This window comes from Homo sapiens, chromosome 18 (assembly GCF_000001405.40).
Source record: "Homo sapiens chromosome 18, GRCh38.p14 Primary Assembly".
NCBI lineage: Eukaryota > Metazoa > Chordata > Mammalia > Primates > Hominidae > Homo > Homo sapiens.
Window position 1 is genome coordinate 53,476,487 of NC_000018.10, and position 22,299 is coordinate 53,498,785.

Sequence of the window (22,299 nt, forward strand, 5' to 3'; positions counted from 1 at the left end):
GAGTCTCCTTGCACAAGCCCTCTTCTCTTTTCTGCTGCCATGTGAGATGTGCCTTTTCCCTTCTGCCATGATTGTGAGGCCTTCCCAGCCATGTGGAAATGTAAGTCCAGTAAACCTCTTATTTATTTATTTTTTTTGTAAATTGTGCAGTCTTGGGTATGTCTTTATCAGGATCATGAAAACAGACTAATACAGGGTTAGAATTCAGGAGGACAATTACTTTTGATGGAAGTCGATTAGTGGACCAGAAGGTACTATAGGGCACATTCTCATAATGTGTTATTTCTTGTTCTGGATTACAGATGCCAGGCATTTCACTTTGGAAAAACATTGAGCACTGTATTTAGCATATTCTCAATTTTCCCTGTGTATATTATAATTCAATGAGAAAAAAGACAATAGAATATGTATATTTTTAAATAACTTGGTCACATCACATTCATTGTTATCTACAAGCTGTTTGTTGGTGAAACTGTATTCAACAAAAGAAAATTATTTTAACATATAAACACAGTTAATTTTAAAATATTTTTTATTTTTTGAGTCAGACTCTCACTCTGTTGCCCAGCTGCAGTGCAGTGGTATGATCCCTGTTCACTGTAACCTCCACCTCACGGGCTCAAGCAATCTTCCTGCCTCAGCCCCCTGAGTATATGGAACTACAGACATAAGCCAACATGCCCAGCTAGTTTTTGTATTTTTTGAAGAGACGAGGTTTCACCACGTTGCCCAGGCTGGTCTCAAACTCCTGGGCTCAAGTGATCCTCCTGCCTCTGCCTCCCAAAGTGTTGGGAGTACAGGTATGAGCCACTGTGCCTGGCCCAAATAAATTCTTAAACTTTTTGATAAAATAGCCCTTTGCATCTGAGATGATTGATAAGGCCATAGGTAACTATGTTTAAAAATTTTGTATCTGTATCTTGGCAGAGTTATGATTTTATTCAGGAGAGTAGATAAATTTATAATGGCCCCATTTGCAATTATTTACACTTACTGGGGTATCAAGCCTTGTATAAACTAAAGCCATAGCATTGTTCAGATTTCTAGTCACATATATAAAGATCGTTGCTATTTCATTGAGGAATCATTATTCCTATAAGATTGTTATTTTCTTTCTTCCTTGACATTTCTTATTATGTGCTATAAAATGTTAACAGATAAAACATAAGTTATCTGAAGTTGTATTTTGGCTCTTAAAACTCACAGAGAAAATGTATTTAATTTCATGGGAAGGCAGAATCTTCTTATTTGTCTAATATTATACTTTTTGGTTGAAAATATTATATGGCATATGCTACTCCTTATCCCCAAGCATTCTTCACAGTAAAATTAGCTGAGGCTCATGAAAAACATGCCAGCTGACAGCACAGGCAGGAGATGAACCCCAATCTTTTGATTCCCCAGCCTAGTTACCCTTACCATAAAATGGTGGCAAAGGTTGACTATTTGTATAATGGCCAAAAATTATTTTAAATGCTGTTTCTTACTATAATGAAATTAATTACAAAAAAGTCAGAACAGAGACTGGAAGATAGGAGATTTATTGGCTTAAGTGCTTTCTGGAATAACACCAGTGAGGGTGAAGGATACAGAATAACACCAGTGAGGGTGAAGGATACAGAATTGGGGCAAGGGTGGGATTGAACTGGTGATGCTGTTTAATGGAGACCTCAGCTGACCTGAGGCTGTCCTTTAGGGTTGTCCTAAATGAAGCAAGTGGGGCTGGCCTTCTCTATCCTGACTCAAGTAATCTTTCATGCAGGCTATTTCCAAGAAGTGGGGTGTGGCCTTGGGTGAGCGACTTAATTTGGATGAGAGCATTCCTTGAAGAAAGATTTAGATCTACATTACATTTCTAGATGGTATTGCACAATCGGATGTAACTATTTGGCCATTTTCAACCCATTTTCTTCTTTTGTAAGATGCCGAAAAGGAAGAGGGGAATAGGAACTAGGAAGGATATAGATTGAAGCAGATTAGCTGTAAGATCATTTAAAGTATGAGAGGTTTTTGGGCAGTATCTTGAATTTTATATATTTGTCACTTACCTTTCTCTGTAAATATTTGAGGGAAAAAAAGGAAATCATTCTTTAAAGGAAAAAGAAGTCTCAAAAAGGTAGCCTGAAACATCTAGCAAAAACACTGAAGCAAAGGAAGTTATACACTTTGCCATGGTAATGGCTACTGGTTTCTGGGCTTTCTAGAACATTCACTATGAGAGCCAATGCTCTCCTTCCCTTTCCCACCATCTGCATTAGTCACTTGGCTGTAGAACACAAACAGTGACTTGGAGAAGCTGTTGAGAAGTGAAATAAAGCTACATGAGAAAGGGCAGATTTTTAAAACTGGAGTTCTATTGACTCTAGGTGCTGTCCTACCAGGAGGCCTGCTTCTACACAAATGGACATTGAGAGGGACTCGTCTGTGAGACGATCATCCCTTTGACTCATGCATATAAGGTGCGAGAAACCAGCATCCTAAGATTGGTCCCAGCTCAATAGTCTTCTGAGACTGGGCATTTATTCCATCACCCTTCAGCCCTTGTGGATGCCCACAACCAACCAAGAATTCTTTCCTAGGAGTAAGGAGTGCATAGAGCCGTTCTAGTATGATAAATATCAACAGCACACCCATTTTCAACTATTCAGAACTGTAGGAACGGTGGTGAGAAAAAAGTTCAAAGCACACTTAAATTTGCATTAGAAATGATCTCATTACCTAATACATGATTTTAAATACTAATCTGATCAATTCATTATCAATATCAGTTTTTATTCTTTGAGTCTTCGATGACATACTTCATTCCACCTCTTACTCTGAATTACTGAAAGGAACAGTATTTTTTATTCAAACTCTATAGGCACACAATTCATTATGCATTATGCAATGTTTTGTGCGATGCCATGGCTCTGTATAAAAATGGAATTAAAAAGTTGTTAATGAATGGGAACTGGAGACCTAGATGTCGTTTCTTGGTAGCTCTATAAGCAAATAAATTTTCAAACAAAATTAATCTATTGTTAATTCTATTGGACTAAGAAAATCAGCAAGTCAGTAGAGTTATGCAGACACAGTCAGAGCTTAAAAAGGTTCCTGTAGAGAGTACAGAATTGTATCTTTTGGGAGGATTTTACAAGATAAGAAGTAGTTTGTTTTTCAAAGATATAGAAGTAATGAAGAAGGGATCTGACAAAGGGTTGGTGAAAGTAAATATTTTAGATGATGGAGTATAAAAAGTATACCAACTTAGCTTCTAGAAAGAGTTTCTATTGCAATGTAAAAATACAGATATCCTTCAAGACTTAGATTACCTAATTATTTCTTAATTCCTAATATCTTAGAGATTTCTTCAACAAAATGGACCATTTCTTAAACCTCACAACATTTCCTATCTCACACAAGGTTTTGGAGATCTGGGGGTAACTTATGAATGACTAAGGCAAATGGATTCACAATTTGTTGTGGAAATCTTTCTGGTCTGCTTAGAAAAGAATACTGTGATACCTTAAGCTCATTTCAAAGGAATTCCATGGAACCAGATCAGAGTCTATATCTTTCCTATGGCCTCATCTTCTGTCTAATATCATGGAGCCAAAATGTACACCTGGATGTTCACAACTATTTCATATATCTGGGCTTCATAGACACATCTCATTTGAGAAGATCTCAGCTGAAAAGGTCCAGATAGAGGAGTAAAGGTCCAGATAGAAGGAGTATAGTAGGAGATTGCAGGGGTCTTAAAGTTTCCTTCTCACAGTTCACCCTATTTGATCTTAACACATAGCTCCTGCTGTGGCAAGCACTAAGCCAGCCAGTCCACATTCTGTCTCATCTTGGAAAGCGTGTATAAACCACATTAAAATTGGGCCAGATAGACTTCAATAAATGCCTTCCTTCAGCTTATAAATGACAAAACAAGAACTTGAACTAGAAATTATCTTTCTCATGTCAAAAATCTTTCAGGGTCATACTTCCCTCAGGTTCAAATTTGAATTTAAAAACTATTATTTATTTTCCTCTATCTTAATGCATAGCACTCTTTTTTTCAAATGTAAGACAGGATGTTTTAAACAATATTTTCAATTAAAAAAGATATTCAATGCAGTTTTGGATGGATCTGTTGCAGCCTTGCAAATTAATTACAATGCCCAACATTTATGGGGTGCTGACTTCTGACCCTGTACTCTGTTGCACTTCTCTGTGGATGATCTCTTAAATCCTCACAACCACATCATAAAATCGGTACTCCATTGTGCAGATGAGGAAACTGAAAAACAGAGCGTGAATAATTTGCTCTTCAACGTGTAGCTATTATCATGTAACAAATTACTCCCAAAATGTAGCAACATAAAATAATTATTGTTTATTTTCTCAATAGTATCTGAGAATCAGGTATCTAAGAGCAGTTTAGCTAGGTGGTTCAGGGTCAGAGCTTCAAGTTGTTTCATGAGGTTTCTTTCAGTGTCTTGAGCTGAGGGTCTAGTTTCTCGCTACATGGGCGTATGCACAGGTCTGCCAGCCTGTCCTTAAGACATAACACCTGGATTCCCCAAGACATGACACCTGGCTTTCCCCAGCATGAGTGATCTAAAATAGAGAAGAGAGGAGAGAGAGAGAAAAACAGAGTGAGCATGTACAATCTTTTTAAACCTTATCTTAGAAGAGACATACCATCATTTCTGCCACATTCTACTGCTCACCAGACCAATCCTGGTAAAATGTGCAAGGGAACCCAACAGGCATGTGAACTCCATGAAGTGGGATCAGTGGGAGGCATCTTTGACGCTGGCTATGATGCTTATTCACTAGCAAGGAGTAGAACTAGGTAACGAATCCAGGCAGTTTTACTTCAGCACTTAGGACTCTTTACCATTATATTAAGAATAACTGCAAAGCACATATTTATGAATCTTAGGGCTTTTCCAAAAGCGACCCTCTATGGAGTTTGTGGATACTTGTGAATGTCATTCTGTGGCACTTGCTTATCAAAGAACACCTGAAAATGTGAAGGAGATATGAATATCAAGGACAATAGAGGCTAAATTTCCAAATGTCCCAGATAATATACAGGTCATTGTGGAAAAGAGAAGATAAAAAGAGGCAGAATGAAAAATCATTTCAGTTAAGCTCTTTCATTTCGACATACCATTATCTTTGTCTCCTTCGTCTCCTCAACAAATCTCTCAATTCTGTCAAGTACCATGTTGAGAAATATCTAGGGAGGGTTTTATTATTTCTTAAACATTGTAGCTTAAAAAAATCTTTACTTTTGATTTCCTATAGGTAGTATTTAGTGCTAACATTTTAGAATATTATGGAAGTTTTCAAATACCAATGTGCCTTGTTCAGGGAGCTAAGTAATTTGGTGAGGGAATTTCTACTTGAAAAATTTTGTGCATCAATGTCAGAGATAAATTCAATTGTCAGAAAGCTGTGTCAGAACAGATTTCTTGTCATATTTTGCCGCAGAGCAGAGATTTATTGAAAATGCTTGATGATATCGCTCTCTGAGCTGTTTTACATAAACATAGCAGTGGAGTGAATGCTTTGAGTTGAAGCATTTGTGTGTTTGTGTGTATGTGTGTGTTTGTGTGTGTGTGTATTTCCGACTTTCAAAACTGACGTCAAGGGGAAAAATACCAAAAGATATCCTAATACCTAATGTTTTATCCAACTTACTTTAAGAATGATTATTTTTTGTTATAAGTAAATGTAGACTTCTGTGCCTTTTCAGAAATGAATCATAGAATAAAATACTTCAAGATCGAAGCTTTGGGATACTGGCTATTCTATCTGATGTCACAAAATAATGAACACTTTTGAGATGCAGAAACATACAACAGATTTATTATTTTTGAAAGAAGGTTTATTATTTGTAAACCCTTTGTAATCAGGTCAGCAGCAAAAATACAAAACTATTAGAAAGTAAAATTTCTTTCTTCAGTAATGAAAGACTTGGAACTGCAGTGTAAGTTCAGTCTCTAGAGTGCTCTCAGCACTCTAACTAAAAGATTATATGGCTTGCAAAATTGTTTTATGTTTCTCTCTCCAAATTTGTTTGGCTCCAAATCAGAAGATACGTATGAAACTCTTTTTCTAAACGTACTGTGAAACATTTGTTAATAATATTATTGCTTGTATTATAATATACTCATTTTGATAATAAAATATAGTATGCACAGTTTGTGGAATGAGTATTTTCTATATTTAAAGGAGACTAACATTGTCACATTTATGAGTAAAAAGTATCAATACTGGGAATGTTTTGCAATCTAGCAATCCACTTTAATGACTGCAGTGATCCATTTGATCAGTAAGACAGGTGAAATAATTCAGTTGACTGCCTCAGAGTCTGGGAATTTGAGTTGTTTAAAAATAGACTTTATGCTCTGGTATGGCTTATATTTACAAATGTGTTCAACTACATTATTATTATCATTATTATTATATTAACTATATACCCCAGGAGAGTAAATCATATATCAAGTCACTCTAAAAGTCTCCAGTGTGTTAAAATGACAGATTTCTAAATAATACTCCTAGAAAATCCTTCATATTAAACTCACTTGAAAAATATGAAGTATCTCTAGCACTGTCCTAGAAAAGACACAAAGACAACAAAATTATAACTTATTTCTTTAAGGAATTTATAACATTTTGGCTGGTATCTGGTTTGAATCTCTGATTCTTTTTAAAAGTTTCCTTGTCATTTTTTAAATTTCCCTTTTTCTGGAGTCTGTTTACGTGTTTATATATCCATAATGTGCTTTTCATAAAATATCTTTATTGAGGCATTGTGCTTTGTACTAATTACTCTCAAATGTTCATTCATGTCTTCTCTAAAATAATTTAGAAAAACTATGTATCCCCTCATATATTTAAAATTTGACACTTAAAATATTTTGTTACACATTAAATACCTGTGAAAGATGGAATTTTTCTGATGTAACATGCTTTTAAACCAATCTAAAAGCACAAAAATACCATAGTAGTTTGATATCAACATCATCCCCTTAAAAAATATGTGAGGAAGTGCCTTGTTAACAGATAGAAGTTAACACCACTCATTTTTCTCCTTGAACTGGAATCTACAATTTATTTTCCCCACAGATTAACATACAAACATGATCTATTTTTATGTTTGTGGGTCTTTTTTTGATTATATATCTATCTTATTTTTTTGCAGCATAAAATTTATATAAACCAAAATTTTATTTTATGTTTGTATTTCCAGTGACTATGAGTCTTTGTTAATTTTCTTTCCTATGGATCTTGTTAACATTACAATTAGTGTTTCTCCACAATGGCATATAGCGTAAAATTTTATTGGAGTGTTATCACTTAATGACATGAATGGGGCTTTTTGTACATTAATTGCATACATCCATGTATGAATGTTGCTTATTGCATTAATTCTATTCCAGTGTGCTTGTTGTTGATCTAAACACTGTGAAACCTTTGCCTATGTTTGCATAGATAGATAGATAGATAGATAGATAGATAGATAGATAGATAGATAGATAGATATAGTGTGTGTGTATATATATATGAATGAGTACTATAACAATGAGATCTTTATAGCAATCACTGAACAATTTGAACTTCTCCCAAATTACATGCCAAAATCACATTGTGACTTCTTATTCTGTTATTTTTGATAATTTTTCAACTAACAACTACCTGAGATTTTCCTTCAATTATGCTCTAAATGAAAATGTTAGAAACCACCTGACTTGCAGAAGTATTTGTTACTCATTCAAGTTATTTACTTTCTTGTTTTCTAGGAGGTTCACAATAAAAAGCTGTACCAAAATTTATCAGCAATTTTAAAATAAACTTGAAAATTGCTTTCACCGAGAGGCACTTTTTGTAACAATATATAAAGACAAGATTAGGTTGCCTTTTCTTTTGGTGATTATTTCCTTTGCTGTGCAGAAGCTTTTTAGTCTGGTGCAGTTTCATTTATTTATTTTTGATTTTGAAGCCAAGCTTTTGGTGTGAAACCTAAAAAGATCATAAACAAGACCAAAATCAAGGAGCTTTTCACCTATGCTCTCTCCTAGGAATTAACTTCTGGGTCTTACATGTAGGTATTTTATCCATTTTGTGTTAATTTTTCTGTATGGTGTGAGATAAGGGTCCAATTTCATTATTTTCAATGTGAAAATCATTCCCCCAGCACCATTTATGGAAGAGACTATACCTTTTTAACATAATTTCTAATCAGGAAGTGCAGTGCCTCCAACTTTGTTTTTCTTTCTCAGTATTGCTTTGGTTATTCAATATTTGTTATGGTTTCATAGAAATTTTAAGATTTTTTTCTATCTCTGTGAAGAATGCCATTAGAATTTTGATGGGGATTGTGTTAAATCTGCATATTGCTTTGGGTAGTATGAACCTTTCAACAATCCCATTTATATGTGAAATATATGTGTGAAATAATACATATATAAGCTCAAATACACAGAGATAGAGAATGAAACAGTGGTTCCCACAGGTGGGAGGGGGAGAGGAAATGGGGAGATGTAGGCCAAAGAATGCAAAATAGCAGACATGTGAGATGAACAAGTCTAGAGACCTAACCTACAGCATGAGAACTAAAGTTAATACAATTGTATTGTATTAGGGATTTTTGTTAAATAAGTACATTTTAGCTACTATGTTACTTTGTCACAAAAAGTAACTGTGAGCCGATAGATATGTTAATCTACTTCACTATGGTAACCAACCTACTATCTACATGTATCTATATGTGTCTCAAAATATGTCATAAACCTCTAATATACACAATAACATGTATTTTTAAAAAAATTCTATTAATGTCATCACTCCTCTACACTCCAAAGCAAGAATTTGTGATAGAACAAAAACCCAATAAAACCCAACAATTTTTTACTGAAAAATAAAGACAAGATTAGGAAAATTGAAATATCACTTAGATCTTCACTAAAGCAATTTTTGTTGAAATGATTTATCTTTAAATGATTTATATTTTTATTCAATTTATAGGAAATACTAATCATTTAATCTGATTAGCAGAGTCACTCTTCATTTTCAAACCAGTCCATCAAAATGCTTTATCTGAAACAGTCTGACTTCATTTTTCAGTTTAAGTAAACATGTTCAAATGCATTTTAAGAAACGTTATAAATATACTGAAAAATAAATTCTGGTATATAATTTCAATAGCTAGTTTACTAGAAGCAGCCCTTTTAAAATCTTTTATCTTTTATATATTTAATCTGAATTTTCAGTTAGAATTTAAAAGAAATCTATATGTTGCTTCTCATTGAGTTACAATATGCAGTGTAATTTGTATCTACAATTATAATGTTATAAAATGAGGAATATGACAAAAGAAAAGATTTTCATTTGGTAAATGTGCATGCATGTATGTGTATGTTGAACTCCAGTTATTGGCATTACCATCTAAATAAATAAAAATAAATTATTAATTTCATAGACAGGAATATACTGCTAAAACTGATCATTCAGGTAGCTGACTTAAATTTTGCTTTGGCATAATAAAAGATAGGGAATGCTAAACATTTTATAAGAAAATATAAGATAAAGATTGACTACAATTGGAATATTTAATATATATTATAATTGAATAGCTATTGAATAATGAAATTGAACAATACTATCTAAACCTAGAAGATATTTTGTATGTTTTTTATCTGTGGGTTTCAGCCACTGTAACTAAAAAAAGTTGATATTCCTGAAAAACATTCAGTTACACTTAATATGTCACTCACCTGCACTGATTTGGGTATTTGAAGATATTTTCTATTTAAAGATAAATCCTAAGTATGACTATTGAGAAAACACTTTGCTTCTCTCTCTCTCGACTGTCCCTCAAGAGCAATACATTCTTTTACAGAATTAATGGAAAATTCCCAACATTTTTTCAACCCACTCTACACAATATATTTGATTTGTGAACAACCTAACCTTTCTAATGCCATAGTTCATCCTTAAAAGAAAGACTAAGACCAAGACAAACAAACAACATGACCGACATAAAATGTTAAGGTGGATTTATGGTAACTTGATTAACTGTTTCTTTGTTTGGAGCCCTGGAATGTTTTAAACTGCAGGGTAATATTTCGTAGTATGATGCTTGAGGGATGAGCTGTCTTTTCTAAAGTAAAAAGTGGGATTGGTGGAGAGAGGTAAGTAAGGGAACCTAGTTGATACTATGAAGAGTGTGTATAGATTTGAGGATCTGAAAATTCCACCGTTTTCTTTTTTGCTTGTTGAGTGAATACATAAGGTTCAAAAAACCCATTAACCTTTTTCTTTTGCAGCTGTCGTGAGCGCCATCCCGGTGCCAACGCTAGAAAGTGCCCAGTACCCAGGAATCCTCCCGTCTCCCACCTGTGGATATCCCCACCCGCAGTTCACTCTCCGGCCTGTGCCATTCCCAACACTCTCAGTGGACCGAGGTTTCGGAGCAGGAAGAAGTCAGTGTAATGCATTTTCCTCTCTTTTTAATAAGCACAAATGAATAATAGCAAAGGTGTCTTGTAAAATATGTTGCATTCTGACCTTATCCCTTAGAAAAGTTGATTTCCCTATGACTGTGGTACTAGAATGTTCCTTTCCAACACAGTGCTTTGGATCCTAGCTCATGTGCATTTGTACTGATTCCCTAGGCACCTTTCCACAGCACACTCCACTGACAATACAAGGGGAAGTGGTGGGGAAACAAATGTCAAGTGGTTCCATCAAACAATGATGTGATGGGTACTTGAAATTAATATGTCCTATTAAATAGGAAATTAATAATCAAGTGATATCTTCCAACATATTTGGTATCTGTTGGTTATGTCTCACTGATTGCTGATGAACCAATAACTTGGGTGAATGCTTTAGATTTCTTTAATCAGGTAAGTGATACTTTTTCAGCTTTAAAAATTAATTATCAGAAAAAAAGGATTTCCAGGGTATTATTTCATTTCTTTGAAGGAAGGTAGGAATGAAAAGAGACTCTCAAGCTATTATATACACCCTGGTGATTTCTGCTGTGCCATTTGACTCTTTTTTTTTTTTTTTTTTTGAGCACAGTGTTTTAAAATCTATTTTATGGTTTTCATCTCTTAGAACAGGTGACTCAGCAGCTCATGTGAGATAGGATGTTTTGTAATAGATATGATAGTAACAACAATAAAATATATTTTTGAGGTAAGGTATATTTTTCTAACCAAACAGGGACAGCTCTAAGAAATCATAAATCGTCTAGATACAGCAAGGTTAGAATTAAAAGGCATCAAAGATCTGCCAAGGGAGAATTAGATTTATTTTCTCTTTTCTCACTGCACATAATATCTACAGAATAGAGTTGTGTGCAAAAACTCGAGGAAAAATAGTTGCCCAAACTGCATTGAAGGGAATTAAATAGGAAAGATGTAGAAAGTCTAATAACCAAAATTTTCAAATCCCAAGACAACTGGAAATGGAATTCCAATCAAAGAATTGAGAGCCCACAAGTGCCTTCTTCACTTCTAAAATGAAGCTCTCTGCAACAAAAAAAAAGACAAGTTTTAATGTTAGTTTAGTATTCGGTCTATTGGTTTGTTGTCTCCTACACTCTTTTGATTTCTTGTATATTCTCTGACTTTAAAGGGAAACATGAAAAGAATGTGTAGACTTTCAGAGGCTGAGGTGGGCAGATCACTTGAGGTCAGGATTTGGAGACAAGCCTGGCCAATATGGTGAAACCCTGTCTCTTCTAAATTAGTTGGGTGTGGTGGCGCATGCCTATAGTCCCAGCTATTTGGGAGGCTGAGGCATGAGAATCTTTTAAGCCTGAGAGGTGGAGATTGCATTGAGCTGAGAGTGTGACACTGCAATCCAGCCTGGGTGATGGAGCTAGACTCTATTTATTTCAAATTAAAAAAAAAGAATGTGTAGAATGACCTTTATCGGGTTTCTCCATCATGACTGGTACAAGCCAAAATTCAGGACTTTTAAAATTAGTAATTCACTATTTTTATTCGTGTTGTGTTACTCATTTCTTGTCCCTTTTTTTAAAGGCATAGTTTTCTTTTGAAAATTTATTCATTGAGATCCAACATCAATTTACTCTTTCCGTTTTCCTCTTTCCTCTTAAATTGGTGCAGCATGTGAAACTCTCTCTTATTGAATCATGGGGAAAATGATTCCAAAAGTTAAAGCTCAACGAAAATGAATAAAGGGAATTGACTAGTATAAAATTTGTTTTTATCTGTGGTTAAAAGTCTCATGTGTGACTTGTGATTTTGAGAGTGAGTAGGTTGTGTGTATGTGGGATAGGAGGCTTGTGAGAAATCTCTGTACCTTCTGCTCAATTTTCTTGTGAACCTCAAATGCCTCTAAAAATAAAATCTATTAGAAATTAATTGATTGGGCCAGGCGAGGTGGCTCATGCCTGTATTCCCAGCATTTTGGGAGGCTGAGGCAGGCAGATCACGAGGTCAAGACATCGAGACCATCCTGGCCAACATGGTGAAACCGCATCTCTACTAAAAATACAAAAAAAATTGCTGGGCATGGTGGCATGCGCCTATAGTCCCAGCTACTCAGGAGGCTGAGGCAGAAAAAAAAAAAAGAAATTAATTGATTAAAATATTTATTCTCTAGAAGATGTTTTTATTTTTTAAAGTAAGGATTATTAAATAAAAGTAGTTATACGACAAAATGCTTAGTGATTTTTTAACTTTATCTAAAATGAAAAGGCATTGGATGTTCTACTCCTGCCCAAGATTTTACAGATTTTTAAAATAAATACATCTTCAGTCATTCATCAAGAACTTTTTGAGCAAAGCTATGCACAATGCAAAGCAACTAAGATCTAATATGTGTTCCAAGTGACTGTTTAAAATAAATAACACTCACCCTCCTTTCTAGGAAACTAAATATTCTCTAAATCACTGTCAGAAACAATTAACTAACTTCCCATTTCCCGTCATTCCCTATTGGTTTCTAAATGCCTTAGAGAACACTAAACAAACATTCCTGTTCTCTCTCAAGCAGAAAACATTTCATGAATCTGGGTGGATATATCTTATTAGTCGCCTTGGGAAACAGAGAAAGGCACACGTATTAAAAGAAAAAGTTGACTTTGCCAAGGTGGAAACTCTTTTTCCTCCAAAGTTATCTGAAAGACCTTTGAGTTTTATAAGAAATGAAATGAATCACTAAAGTCCTATTCCAAAGGTCTGCTGCCTTCTGAAGGCACAAATAAAGCTGAATTTCTCTCCAACCATAAGGAAAGAAAAGATATGGTACATACATTTGCATTACATGTATTCGCTGACCTATCAGTAAATAATATTTATATTTATATAGTTGTGATGGACAAATATTTCTTCTTCTTAATAAGTAACTGCAGTACTGCTCTTAGCCTCAATAAGCAAATGAGTTATCCCTAGGGAACAGTTTAGCTGCATTGTATTTGAAAACTTCAACCAATAGATAGTCTTGGGGCCTCATTTCTACAAATCAGTACAAAATTGGTGCCCCCACTTTCTTGTCTTTGAAACAAGTAGGTGGTAGAGGAGCAGTTTAAGTGATTTCCACTCTTCCTTTTAGTTCTGACATTGTCTTAACTAGTGGGAAGGCTGGTCAGCTTTATTCATGCTATTTTTCTGCCTCTGTTCTCCCTCAAATGGGAAATCAACTAATAAATGAAACTTGACCTAGATAAAATGAGGAGTGCAATGGAGTTCATAGAGTAATCTCTAGGGTATTTTAAAAAAATACAGGCTGTAAGAAACTGGGGTTATGTAAAAATATTGTGTTACGTCGTTCTTCTGAGGTTAATGAGTGAATTGGGTTTCTAGAAGTGTTCATGACTCAGTCTTTGCTTAGAGTTATTGGCTTGCTATATTTCTATCAATCACATATTGTAGTTTTTATATAGAAGAAAATTCCTCATTTCCATTTTTATAATATTTTCCCAGTTATTCTGTAGCAATTATTTATATGTATTGACATTAATTATTATAAAGTACCTTGAGATTTGACTCTGCTGTGTAATGGTATGCTATTTGTATAATGAATTCTGACTATTTCATCATGTAACAACAAGTGCCTTGCTAGCATGTATTTGATTCTCACTCGATACTCTGAATTGCAGAGCAGGGGCACGTCATGGACAAAAGCAGGTTTCTTTGCTTTCAGAGATCTTGGCAGAGCTAAATGTCATGCCACTAAGCCAATTTGTTTTGTTTCACATAGGTGTCCTAAAGCCAGTGCCTGAACTGGACAAAAGTGCTCATCTGAAATGAGAGTATTTCACTGGCGGACCAGTTGCTATTGTATTTGTTAAAGGGTTTTTGCTGCCTTAAGTGTCAGGCAGTTCCAAAAAGCATTTATTTTGCTCCACTTAAAATATAAGAATTATGAATTATAGATGGAAATCCTATACCTGTTCATTGTATTCATTTTGAACACAACAGAAATTGTCCCTTAGGGATTGGTGATATATTCCGTCTTGAGGAAGGGCCCTCTCACTCCTGTCTAGTACATTAGGCACTTTCCTATTCTCCCTATGTGGTACTAAGGATGGATTTTGCTAAAGAGGGGACCTACCTATGTAAAGCCATTTTTACTTCTGTCAAAGTCAAGAGCCATATCATGATGTTTGTTTGCAGCCAGGATCACAGGAGCCAGCTGAAAACTTGGGGATAGAAGACTGGGCATGCAGACAATTTTTGTTTTTGGAGATGCTGATGAGGAGCAATGGCGTTAAAGAGTAGGATTAGGAAAAAAGAAAATTCAGTGGCGTAATCAGAATTCATGTGAAATATGAAAGTTTTCAAAATAAGAGACCAAATTTCAAAAGACTAACAAATGCATGTACATTCTATTAAACTTACAATCACAATAATGTAGATTTCTTTATTATACTTTAATTTCTGGGGTACATGTGCAGAATGTACAGGTTTGTTACATAGATATACACGTGCCATGGTGGTTTGCTGCACCCACCAACCCATCATCTACATTAGGTATTTTTCCTAATGCTATCCCTCCCCTACCCTCCAATCCCCGAGAGGCCTTGGTGTACATGTGTCCTCATTGTTCATCTCCCACTTATGAGTGAGAACATGTGGTGTTTGGTTTTCTGTTCTTGTGTTAGTTTGCTGAGAATGATGGTTTCCTCCCTACAAAGGATATAAACTCATCCTTTTTTATGGCTGCATTGTATTCCATGGTGTATATGTGCCACATTTTCTTTATCCAGTCCATCGTTGATGGGCATTTGGATTGCTTCCAAGTCTTTGCTATTGTGAAGAGTGCCACAATAAATATACACATGCATGTTTCTTTATAGTAGAATGATTTATAATCCTTTGGGCATGATTCTGGGCCAAATGGTATTTCTAGTTCTAGATTCTTGAGGAATTGCCACACTGTCTTCCACAATGGTTGAGCTAATTTACACTCCAACCAACAGTGTAAAAGCCTTCCTATGTCTCCACATCCTCTCCAGCATCTGTTGTTTCCTGACTTTTTAATGATAGCTATTCTAACTGGCCTGAGATGGTATCTCATTGCGGTTTTGATTTGCATTTCTCTAATGACCAGTGATGATGAGCATTTTTTCATATGTTTGTTGGCTGCATAAATGTCTTCTTTTGAGAAGTGTCTGTTCATATCCTTTGCCCACTTTTTGATGGGATTTTTTTTTATTGTAAATTTGTTTAAGTGCTTTGTAGCTTCTAAATAAATATTAGTCTTTTGTCAGATGGATAGATTGCAAAAATTTTCTCCCATTCTGTAGGTTGCCTGTTCACTCTGATGATAGCTTTTTTGTTGTGCAGAAGATCTTTAATTAGATCCCTTTTGTCAGTTTTGGCTTTTGTTGTCATTGCTTTTGGTGTTTTAGTCATGAAGTCTTTTCCCGTGCTTATGTCCTGAATGGTATTGCCTAGGTTTTCTTCTAGGGTTTTTATGGTTTTAGGTCTTATGTTTAAGTCTTTAATCCATCTTGAGTTAATTTTTGTATAAGGTGTAAAGAAGGGATCCAGTTTCAGCCTTCTGCATATGGCTAGCCAGTTTTCCCAACACCATTTATTAAATAGGGAATCCTTTCCCCATTGCCTGTTTTTGTCAGGTTTGTCAAAGATCAGATGGTTGTAGATGTGTGGTATTATTTCTGAGGCATCCGTTCTGTTCTGTTGGTCTGTATATCTGTTTTGGTACCAGTACCATGCTGTTTTGGTTACTGTAGCCTTGTAGAATATTTTGAAGTCAGGTAGCATGATGCCTCCAGCTTTGTTCTTTTTTGCTTAGGATTCTCTTGGCTATGATTCTCTTGGCTATATGAGCTCTTTTCTCGTTCCATATGAAATTTAAAGTAGTTTTTTCCAATTCTGTGAAGAAAGTCAATGGTAGCCTGATGGGGTAGCGTTGAATCTATAAATTATTTTGGGCAATGTGGTCATTTTCATGGTATTGATTCTTCCTATCTATGAGCATGGAATATTTTTCCATTTGTTTGTGTCCTCTCTTATTTCCTTGAGCAGTGGTTTGTAGTTCTCTTTGAAGATGTCCTTCACATTCCTTGTAAGTTGTATTCCTAGGTATTATTTTGTTCTCTTTGTAGCAATTGTGAATGGGAGTTCACTCATGATTTGGCTCTCTGTTTGTCTGTTATTGATGTATAGGAATGCTTGTGATTTTTGCACACTGATTTTGTATCCTGAGCCTTTGCTGAAGTTGCTTATCAGCTTAAGGAGATTTAGGGCTGAGATGATGGGGTTTTCTAAATATACAATCATGTCTTCTGCAAACAGAGACAATTTGACTTCCTCTCTTCCTAATTGAATACTCTTTATTTCTTCCTCCTGCCTGATTGCCCTGGCCAGAACTTCCAACACTATGTTGAATAGGAGTAGTGAGAGAGAGGGCATCCTTGTCTTGTGCCAGTTTTCAAAGGGAATGCTTCCAGTTTTTGCCCATTCAGTATGATATTGGCTGTGGGTTTGTTGTAAATAGCTCTTATTATTTTGAGATACGTTCCATGTATGTGTCCAGGAATTTATCCATTTCTCTAGACTTTCTAGTTTATTTGCACAGAGGTGTTTATAGTATTCTCTGATGGTAGTTTGATTTTTGTGGGATCAGTGGTGATATCCCCTTTATCATTGTTGATTGTGCCTATTTGATTCTTCTCTCTTTTCTTCTTTAGTAGTCTGGCTAGCAGTCTATTTTGTTGATCTTTTCAAAAAACCAGCTCCTTGATTCATTGATTTTTTGAAGGGTTTTTCCTGTCTCTATCTCCTTCAGTTCTGCTCTGATCTTAGTTATTTCTTGTCTTCTGCTAGCTTTTTCCTGTCTCTATCTCCTTCAGTTCTGCTCTGATCTTAGTTATTTCTTGTCTTCTGCTAGCTTTTGAATTTGTTTGCTCTTGCTTCTCTAGTTCTTTTAATTGTGATGTTATGGTGTTGATTTCAGATCTTTTCTGCTTTCTGTTGTGTGCATTTAGTACTATAACTTTCCCTGTACACACTGCTTTAAATGTGTCCCAGAGATTCTGGTATGTTGTGTCTTTGTTCTCATTGGTTTCAAAGAACATCTTTATTTCTGCCTTAATTTTGTTATTTACCCAGTAGTCATTCAGGAGCAGGTTGTTCAGTTTCCATGTAGTTGTGTGGTTTTGAGTGAGTTTCATAATCTTGAGTTCTAATTTGATTGCACTGTGGTCTGAGAGACTGTTTATTATTTCCGTTCCTTTCCATTTGCTGAAGAGTGTTTTACCTCCAATTATATGGTCAATTTTAGAATAACTGTGATGTAGTGCTACAAAGAATGTATATTCTGTTGATGTGGGCTGGAGGGTTGTGTGGGTGTCTGTTTGGTCCAGAGCTGAGTTCAAGTAATGGATATCCTTGTTAATTTTCTATCTCATTGATCTAATGTTGACAGTGGGCTGTTAAAGTCACCCACTATTATTGTGTGGGAGTCTAAATCTCTTTGTAGGTCTATAAGAACTTGCTTTATGAATCTGGGTGCTCCTGCATTGGGTGCATATACATTTAGGATACTTAGCTCTTCTTGTTGCATTGATCCCTTTAACCATTATGTAATGGCCTTCTTTGTCTCTTTTGATCTTTGTTGGCTTAAAGTCTGTTTTATCAGAGACTAGGATTGCAACCTCTGCTTTTTCTTGCTTTCCATTTGCTTGGTAAATCTTCCTCTATCCCTTCATTTTGAGCCTATGTGTGCCTGCACGTGAGATGGGTCTCCTGAATACAGCACACTGATGGGTCTTGATTCTTTATCCAATTTGCCACTCTAATTGGAGAATTTAGCCTGTTTGCACTTAAGGTTAATATTGTTATGTGTGTATTTAATCCTGTCATTATGATGCTAGCTGGTTATTTTGCCTGTTAATTAATGCAGTTTCTTCATCATGTCAATGGTCTTTACAATTTGGTATGTTTTTGCAGTGGCTAGTACCGGTTGTTCCTTTCCATGTTTAGTGCCTCCTTCAGGAGCTCTTGTAAGGCAGGCCTGGTGGTGACAAAAATCTCTCAGCATTTGTTTGTCTGTAAAGGATTTTATTTCTCTTTCACTTACAAAGCTTAGTTTGGCTGGATATGAAATTCTGGGTTGAAAATTCTTTAAGAGGCCAGGCGTGGTGACTCATGCCTGTAATCCCAGCACTTTGGGAGGCCAAGGCTGGTGGAGCACCTGAGGTCAGGAGTTCAAGACCAGCCTGACCAAGATGGTGAAACCCCATTTCTACTAAAAATACAAAAACTAGCTGAGCATGGTGGTGGGCACCTGTAATCCCAGCTACTCAGGAGGCTGAGGCAGAGAATTGCTTGAACCTGGGAGGCAGAGGTTGCAGTGAGCCAAGATCGCACACTGCATTCCAGCCTGGGTAACAGAGCAAGACTCCATCTCAAAAAAAAAAAAAAAAAGAAAGAAAGAAAATTCTTTAAGAATGTTGAATATTGGCCCCCACTCTTTCTGGCTTATAGAGTTTCTGCCGAGAGATCCGCTGATAGTCTGATGGGCTTCCCTTTGTGGGTAACCCGACCTTTCTCTCTGGCTGCCCTTAACATTTTTTCCTTCATTTCAACCTTGGTGAATCTGACAATTTGACGATTATGTGCCTTGGGGTAGCTGTTCTCGAGGAGTATCTTTATGGTGTTCTCTGTATTTCCTGAATTTGAATGTTGGCCTGTCTTGAGAAGTTCTCCTGGATAATATCCTGAAGAGTGTCTTCCAACTTGGTTCCATTCTCCCCGTCACTTTCAGGTACACCAATCAGACGTAGATTTGGTCTTTTCATATAGTCCCATATGTTTTGGAGGCTTTGTTCATTTCTTTTCACTCTTTTTGCTCTAATCCTCTCACTTTATTTCATTAAGTTGATTTCAATCTCTGATATCCTTTCTTCCCAAGCTGGCTCTCTAGATTCCTCGTCTCTGGGCAGGGCATCTCTGAAAAAAAAGCAGCAGCCCCAGTCAGGGACTTATAGGTAAAAACCCCATCTCCCTGGGACAGAGCACCTGGGGGAAGGGGCAGCTATGGGCACAGCTTCAGCAGACCTAAACGTCCCTGCCTGACAGTTCTGAAGAGAGAAGTGGATTTCTCAGCACAGTGTTTGAGCTCTGATAAGGGACATACTGCCTCCTCAAGTGGGTCTCCATCCAGCCCATGTATCCTGACTGGGAGACACCTCCCAGTTGGAGCTGACAGACACCTCATATAGGCAAGCTCTGGCTGGCGGGTGCCTCTCTGGGACGAAGCTTCCAGAGGAAGGTACAGGCAGCAAACTTTGCTGTCCTGCAGCCTCCACTGGTGATACCCAGGCAAACATGGTCTGGAGTGGACATCCAACAAACTCCAGCAGACCTGCCACAGAGGGGCCTGACTGTTTGTTAGAAGGAAAACTAACAAACAGAAAGGAATAGTATCAACATCAACAAAAAGGATGTCCACGAAGAGACTCCATCCGAAGGTCACCAACATCAAAGAAAGACCAAAGGTAGATAAATCCACGAAGATTAGGAGAAACCACTGCAAAATGTCTGAAAATTCCAAAAACCAGAATGCCTCTTCTCCAAAGGATCACAACTCCTCACCAGCATGGGAACAAAACTGGACAGAGAATGAGTCTGATGAATTGACAGAAGTAGGCTTCAGAAGGTGGGTAATAAGAAACTCCTCCAAGCTAAAGGAGCATGTTCTAACCCAATGCAAGGAAGCTCTAACCCAATGCACGGAAGTTAAGAACCTTGAGAAAAGGTTAGATGAATTGCTATCTAGAATAACCAGTTTAGAGAAGAACATAAATTACCTGATGGAGCTGAAAAACACAGCACAAGAACCTCGTGAAGCATACACAAGTATCAATAGCTGAATTGATCAAGTGGTTGAAAGTATAATGTAGATTTTATTTCAAAAATGCAGAAAAAGTAGAAAAGGAAAAATTGAAAGAAGGGAGTAAAAAAGGAAATAAAACATCATAAACATATTGTCCCTTTAATGGCTAAACCAGTGTTTAAAATGTAATGTGCATTAATTGCAATCCATATTCAATAGAGAGAATTATTTAAGGCAGATTTTTGAGGAAAATTGTGAAATTTCTTTCCCTGGATGAATATTTTTAATGTGGCATTTATAGACCCTTTAATGAAAAGCTAGCCCATTGGAGATAAAGGAGGAACCTAGAGAAATAGCCACAGGAACATCATTTGTGAGACGCACAATTCACAGAGGAACACAGAAGCCAAAGCATTTTCACTTCCCCAGAATTTCTTCTGTGAAATTACAAACTCTTTCTGATGAATAATTTTCTCCAATCCAACGATTATCTTGAGAATCCTTTGTGAAAGAGCCTGCCTTTTCCTCCTAAGCAATGCCTGCAATCTAACATTTCACAAGCATCCTCTGAGACCTGTGGTTGGAAGGAATTGCTATCAAGGAGGCCCACATTAAGGTAAACTTTCTTATGGGAACAAAGAGTGAGGAGAGGACTTGATGTCATCTCTTTCAGGCCAGTGCCACAAAGATGCCCAAAGTTGGGTCTTGGCTAAAAATTGACCATCGGTCATAGTCTCCTTTAGATTAAATGAGTCAAAAGTCAAACCTGAGTAATTTTCATTGTCTCTAGAACCACACTCACAAAAATCTCATTACATGACACTGTTTGAATACAAGCACACAAGTGTTTCTCTCCCCTTTACAGTCTTAAAAGAAATTTAGTGCCTTGTATAACACCTACCTAAAGCCTCGCATCTGAAAGCCAACATCACCAAGGATTTGCCTTAATGGTTTACTTGCAGCCCTACACTTTATCCTTAATACTGTGCATTCATTTGCTCTTTTTCTTCTTCTTTGGTAAGAAAGATTTCCTAGCCTGGAAATAAGGCACTTCTCTTCAAACTCCTTGGGATTCTCTCATTTGCTGCCTTGATTCATTTCCCTTGTTCAAAGAAATCTTTTATCAAGTCTCTGCCTGTATTTTGGCTCTGATTGCTATATGGCTACATCCTGTGCTCAGCCAACCTTGTATCTATCTTTCTACCTTCATCTCTGAATGGGATAAGCCTGGAGGCTGCTCAATGACCCAGAAGACCTCTAACCCCTTCTGAATATAGAAGAATGAGTATAGATACCCTCTGAAGACACATTTCACTTCTGCATAACTTTAATTCTATGTCTTGATCTTTTGTATCTTAAATCTCTATTCCCTTCAGAATTATCAGATTTTCTATTTCCTCTGCCCTTTGATGACCTCCTTGAGCCTCCGGGAGACTTGTCTCAAAATTATCTCACTAATTATCTTGAAATATTTCCTGGTTAAAAATTCTCTTTCAAAAGCAAGATATTATCTTATATCACTGCATTTTGTTTTGATTTATCTGACAAAACTTTATTAAGAAATAAGTCATCAGAAAAAATATTTTATTAATACTTAAACCTACTATGCAGCTCGTTTTGCTTGCAGTTTAACCTGGACCTGTTAACTTTGAATATGAATGAATAGTTCAAGTTCAATCACTGTGTCATTAACAAGGAAAACTTCCTTGAAAATATTTTATTCTGTCTTAACTGTGTTCTCTGGAAAAAAAAAAAAAAAGGTGTATTTCCATATACAAAGCTTTTCAAATGCCCATAGGCACTCACAGTAACCGTGCAGAACCTCTTCAACTACCGTAATCTGCCTGAAAATTACAAGGTTTACTATCAAAGAGGAAAAATTGCAATTCCGCATTCAGGCAACTTGTTCTGGCAGAGTCATCTCTCATATAACTTTTTAGCTAGATGTGCCTCCATTTTGTTATGGAA

General features: G+C 36.2%; 2 protein-coding genes across 10 annotated transcripts in view; one reads left to right on the plus strand and one right to left on the minus strand.

Moving 5' to 3' along the window:
• Window positions 1–22,299, plus strand: part of DCC (DCC netrin 1 receptor) — a 1,195,703-nt gene that overhangs the window by 1,136,290 nt on the left and 37,114 nt on the right. For 3 of the 5 annotated variants that reach the window (NM_005215.4, XM_017025569.2, XM_011525844.3), the window contains one exon: window positions 10,311–10,472. In NM_005215.4, the coding sequence (NP_005206.2) occupies window positions 10,311–10,472 (162 nt within the window). The remainder of the gene's footprint in view (window positions 1–10,310; window positions 10,473–22,299) is intronic. The other 2 variants (XM_017025568.2, XM_047437311.1) reach the window with 1 other exon arrangement.
• LOC124904304 (uncharacterized) overlaps window positions 4,349–22,299 on the minus strand; it is a 266,099-nt gene continuing 248,148 nt past the window's right edge. For 3 of the 5 annotated variants that reach the window (XR_007066375.1, XR_007066376.1, XM_047437986.1), the window contains one exon: window positions 4,349–4,587. Coding sequence is in view for 3 of the 5 variants with exons in the window: in XM_047437986.1 (XP_047293942.1) it covers window positions 4,527–4,587 (61 nt within the window). In the remaining 2 variants the exon portion in view is untranslated. Of the gene's footprint in view, window positions 4,588–11,281; window positions 11,523–19,353; window positions 19,446–22,299 lie in introns of those variants that run through there. The other 2 variants (XM_047437987.1, XM_047437985.1) reach the window with 2 other exon arrangements.